We start from the raw sequence: 6,000 nt of genomic DNA on the forward strand, positions 1-6,000 counted from the left end.
AATTGAATCATATGGCTGTTTTTTTCCCTTGATGTTCTCATGATAGCGAATAAGTCTCACAAGGTCTGATGGATTTATGAAGGACATTTCGCCTGCACGTGCTCTCTTGCCTGCTGCCCTGTAAGATGTGCCTTTGCTCCTCCTTTGCCTTCCACCATGATTGTGAGGCCTCCCCAGCCATGTGGAACTGTGAGTCCATTAAACCTCCTTTTCTTTATAAATTACACAGTCTCAGGTATTTCTTCTTAGCAGTATGAATGTGGCCTAATGCACATATCTTATGAGCAAGTGATTTCACTTATGGGTATATATGATAGAAAAATGTGTGCATATGTGCACCAAGTATAAGAATGTTCATGCTAGCATTGTTCCTAATAGCTCAAATTTAAAATTGACCTAAATGCCCATCAATAATAGCTTAGATAATACCATATGGTATTGTATTAGTCAGGTTCTCCAGAGAAACAGAATGAATAGGATAGAAAATAGATAGATGAAAGACAGATAGATAGACAGAGATTTATTATGAGAGACTGGCTCACATGATTATGAAGTCCCCCCATTTCCTATCTGCAAGCTAAAGGCCCAGGAAATGTGGTGGTATAGTTCCAGTTCAAGTACAAAGCCTGAGAACAAGAAGTGCTGATGTCAGGGCAGGAAGTGATGGATGTCCCAGCTCCAACAGAGAGAGTAAATTCACCCTTCCTCTACCTCTTTGTTCTACTTAGGCCTTCAACAGATTGGATGATGCCCAGCCACATTGGTGAGGACCATCTTCTTTACTCAGTCTACTCACTTAAATGCTAATCTCTTCAGTAAACATCCTCAATGGCATACCCAGAAATAATGTTTTGGCAGCTATCTGGGTATCCCTTAACCCTGTCAAACTGGCACATAAACTTAACCGTCACAGGTAACTTTCATGTAATAAAATATTATACGACAATGAATATGTAGAGCCTATTGCTACATTCAACAGGAATGTATCTTACACACATAAATAGGATGGAGAAGCCAAACACAAAATAATACATGCTGTAAGATTACTTTTTAAAAAGTTCAAGGACAGTAATTGCCATGGTTTGATCATTACACATTTGAGCACGTATCAAAATATTACACATACCCCCAAAATATGTACAACTATTATATATCAAAAAAAAGTACAAGAACAGGAAAAATTGGTCTATTTCATCAGGATATTGTTTATATTTGGAAAGGCAGGTGAGGGTAGTGAGTGATAGGGAGCGTGAAGGGACTTCTAGGGAGATGGTTTTTCCTAATCTGGGTGGTAATTGCAGTGTGTGAAAATTCATTAAGTTTTACACTTATGACTTGCACAGTTTTATATATATCCATGTTATGTTTCAATAAGATACTAAAAATTCACTAAACCTAGTTGTACATAACTCTGCATTTCTAATTATGTCCTAAGGTAAAATTGTTAGAATAGGGAGTGTGGCTATTTCATGCACATATCTCCTACAAGGGGCTTATAAAAGTTATTATTCTTGGTTAACAAGAAATACAGATGACTAAAGAACAAATTATAATCAAGTGTGATAAGTCCTATGATAGGGAAGATTTAAGATGCTTTGAAAATGGAGTGGGCTTGGCAGCAGCAGTCTAGGAATCAGGAGAAGTTTCTCAGAGGGAACAATGGATATGAGACTACCTGAAAAGAAAAAAGCCTGGGTATTACATGGGGACCAATGAGGAGAAGAAGGTGCCCAGCAAAAAGAAAGGCACTGTGAAGGCACCAAATTGAGAGAAGCCTAGTGAGGCTCAGAGGTTGTAAGAAGGACAGTATGGCTGGAGTATGAAAATTGAGGCCGGAGTGATGGACAAAAGTGGATGGTGAGTGCTTTATAGACCCCGCTAAAAAAAAAATAATAATAAATAAATAAATAAAAACTGTGCTTTATCTAACAGGTAATAGGCCACCTTGGAGGGCAAACAAATGGTGAAATAATAATGTTCGCCTTTTACACCTAATTCAGACTACAGTGGAGGACAGCTTAATGCATGTTAGTCTGTAAAGTAAAAATCTGAAATATCATCATGACTCTACAAAGAACTTGCTTAGATAAGCAGAAATACGTTATATTGCTTAAAAGTTTCTCTCTCTAATATTTCATTGTTTGTAAATGATGAGATTCTCCTTTAGAGAATATTGTCATATAGATATTTTAAAAGTGGATAGATCAACATTTCCCTCCTCACTTAATCTGCTGTGCCCAGAAACATTGACTGACTACTTACCTATTTTCCATTTCCAAAACCAATTATTGGGATGAAAACTACTGGTATTGAGTGATTTGCAAATTACCAGAAGGACAAACTCTCTGATGAATTGTAGATTTCTATATAATTATCTTTCTTTCCTTTAAACTAGTGTCCCTTAAATTTGAGGAAACCACAGCTGAAATCAAACAAATCAACTCAACAATCACAAGCTATTCAGTTGACTAAAATTATTATTAAAATGTTATTTAAATATATACAATGTAAAATCAGTTATAGACTTCTTGTTCTTGTAACTCATATCAAAACAAATTTAAAAATAAAACGAAGATACAAGGCCAGTAATATTAAAATTAATAACTGATTTAATATGACTACTGATGTTGTTTTGCTGAAATTACATTGCTGCCCATGGGCCTAGATATCTGAATCCTTCCACCGTACTTTTCTGTCCTAGTTTTTGGCAGACAGTGCTGACATTTGGACATCACTTAGTGCAAAATCATTATTTATCATTAAGTTCACATCTGTTCCTTTCTTATTAACCAGAGATTGTACCAATGAAATTGGCACTTGGCACCAATGAAATTGTAAACACATACTCTAGGAATACAATTATAGGAAACATTTAGTTACCCCATGGTCATCTAGAAGATCCAGAATATGCCTGCATTATTTTTAAAGATATCATCCAAAGATAATAATCAAATGATCAGAAGTTTTAAATTCTCCTTAGTACTCTCAGAATTTGTGGGAAGCATGTTCTTAGACCAGAACCAGCTTGAAGAACCCTAAATTAAGTCGTTATAGGCAAGAGTTAAAATGCAAATATTATTTGTAAAGAATAGCACAGGCAAACTTTTCACATCCTAACGCAAAATAATTTGAGAAGAGAAGGGCTTTGAAGAAAAGGAAATACAACCTTTTTTGGCTTGATTCAGGGATTAGAAATGGTCAATATTTAAAGCATTTGTAGTGGTCTGAAGCTTTCAGAAGGTGCTAAAATTACAGAGTCCACAGTGATCATCATCCAGGATAAAGAAGGTGATTAAAGAGGGGCTGAGGAAGAATGTAAAGCATAATGTGAATGTCTAATAAAAATTATTCTTAACATTAGTAAATACGGATACAGTTACACTTTTCATTTCAGATACACTTGTGTAGAATTAAAGTTATTCAGGAAAGTAAAGAGGCAGATTTAGAAAATGACGTCAGGCCCCAGCGGGACTGTGTACCTTGCTAATGCAAAAAAGCTCTCAGATAAGATTGACCGATTGACATTTTTGGCACTTGAGACACTATTGATCCTGTATATTCATGACTTTCTCTTACTTAAATTGTAACTCCTGTTCTTAAAAAAGTAGTCTTATTATGGATTGGCAGATTGCTTATTTCTGAAATGGCTCATATGGCATGAAATGGCATAATCTAAGCAATCCAGTTTGGGAGGATTTGAAAAACCACTTGAAAATCTTGGAAAACACAGCAACTCTTTAGGAAAAAAAAATACTAGCAGACTTAAATGATAGAGTGGAATTCCAGATCTGGAGATATTGACCTAGATACATGATCCTTGTGAATTTCAGGTTTGTTCACTCTAATAGGTGGGAGTTTACATAAATAATTACTGGCTCAACCTCTCTATATCATCAAATCAAGCAGAAAGATACATTTCCTCCAACTTGTATCCCAAAGTTCTATAATATTAATATTAGACAAAAAGACAAATAAATTATGCCTCCCTCTAATTATTCACTTGGATCTCACATCCATCATATAAAGAGTATTTCTATCTCACTCCATATATATGCTTGGTCCTGAGCACTCGTGGGCTAAGTCCTAACTGACAAGCAATCTCTTTCTGTGCTTTGAATGCAGGAAGAAAAGTACAATATATTTTTATAATACTATTTTCATTATCTCAATCTGTAAAAAGAAATCGCAGCCTTTCTTATTACTGACACCTAGAACTTTACAGTGAATTTATTTTTCTGTTTATTTTGCATAATCAAACACTGTTTAGCCAGAGAAATACTGCCTTCAGGCCACTATGAAGTTATACAAAATCATGATTCATTAATGATTAAATAAAGAATGCTACCTATTCAAGTTAATAAAATTTTTTTCTTTTAGAAACAGGGTCTCACACTGTCAGCCCAGCTGGAGTGCAGTGGCACAATCATAGCTCTCTGAAGCCTAGAACTCCTGAGCTCAAGCCATCCTCCCACTTCAGCCTCTAGAGTAACTAGGACTATAGGCATGAGCCACAATGTCTGACAATATATTTTTTCAGAACTTTTTTTTGTTTTACTTTTTTTCCTTTCTTTCCTTGTTTTTTTTAAATTCTGATTAGCATAAGATAGTGATGAATCTTCAAGGGGAGCACTCTGTTCTCTGGCACTCAGAAAAGCTCAGTTTGGGTGGCCATACTAGAGAGGCATAAAATGCCATGTGGGTCAGCAAGCCCAGATTAAAGAGCTGCCTCAGACAGATGTCTGTCCCCAGAATAACCACAGGAAGCCCTTTGACCTCCAGGTTGTCCCATCACTCTCCACCTTCTGTGACAGGCTGCTCTTTGGGGTTGGGTTCCTGAGCAGCTGCCTCTTTTCTGCTCATTCTCTAGAATCTGCTAAGGACAAATGTCATCTTATTAAATGTCATCTTATTCATCATTCCTTCGAATACCTTCATTTACCTGTGTCTTCTGATAACACCTCTCAGAAAGCTATAGTTCTTGAAAGTTTCTATAGGATTTCTAAAATTTCAAATATGCAGTCACTTAAAAAAAAACCACACCACAGAAAATCTGGCAATTGCTATTCAGGAAAAAAATTTTAAAAGATGAGCAATCGGGCTATGCTGGCTTTGAAGAAGTAGACTCATAAAATCAGGAGAAGGTGGGAGTTAAGTAGTGGAAAGCAACTTCTTCTCATGAGCTGAAGAGCAGCTGACAACTCACTTGAATGTTACCATGCAGACCTTTTTTTTAAATTTTTTATTTTATTTTATTATTATTATACTTTAAGTTTTAGGGTACATGTGCACAATGTGCAGGTTAGTTACATATGTATACATGTGCCATGCTGCTGTGCTGCACCCATTAACTCATCATTTAGCATTAGGTATATCTCCTAATTCTATCCCTCCCCCCTCCCCCCACCCCACAACAGTCCCCAGAGTGTGATGTTCCCCTTCCTGTGTCCATGTGTTCTCATTGTTCAATTCCCACCTATGAGTGAGAACATGAGATGTTTGGTTTTTCGTCCTTGCGATAGTTTACTGAGAATAATGGTTTCCAATTTCATCCATGTCCCTACAAAGGACATGAACTCATCATTTTTTATGGCTGCATAGTATATTCCATGGTATATATGTGCCACATTTTCTTAATCCAGTCTATCATTGTTGGACATGTGGGTTGGTTCCAAGTCTTTGCTATTGTGAATAGTGCCACAATAAACATACGTGTGCATGTGTCTTTATAGCAGCATGATTTATAGTCCTTTTGGTATATACCCAGTAATGGGATGGCTGGGTCAAATGGTATTTCTAGTTCTAGATCCGTGAGGAATCGCCACACTGACTTCCACAAGGGTTGAACTAGTTTACAGTCCCACCAACAGTGTAAAAGTGTTCCTATTTCTCCACATCCTCTCCAGCACCTGTTGTTTCCTGACTTTTTAGTGACTGCCATTCTAACTGGTGTGAGATGGTATCTCATTGTGGTTTTGATTTGCATTTCTCTGACGGCCAGTG

This window comes from Homo sapiens, chromosome 12 (genome assembly GCF_000001405.40).
Source record: "Homo sapiens chromosome 12, GRCh38.p14 Primary Assembly".
NCBI classification, from domain to species: Eukaryota; Metazoa; Chordata; class Mammalia; order Primates; family Hominidae; genus Homo; species Homo sapiens.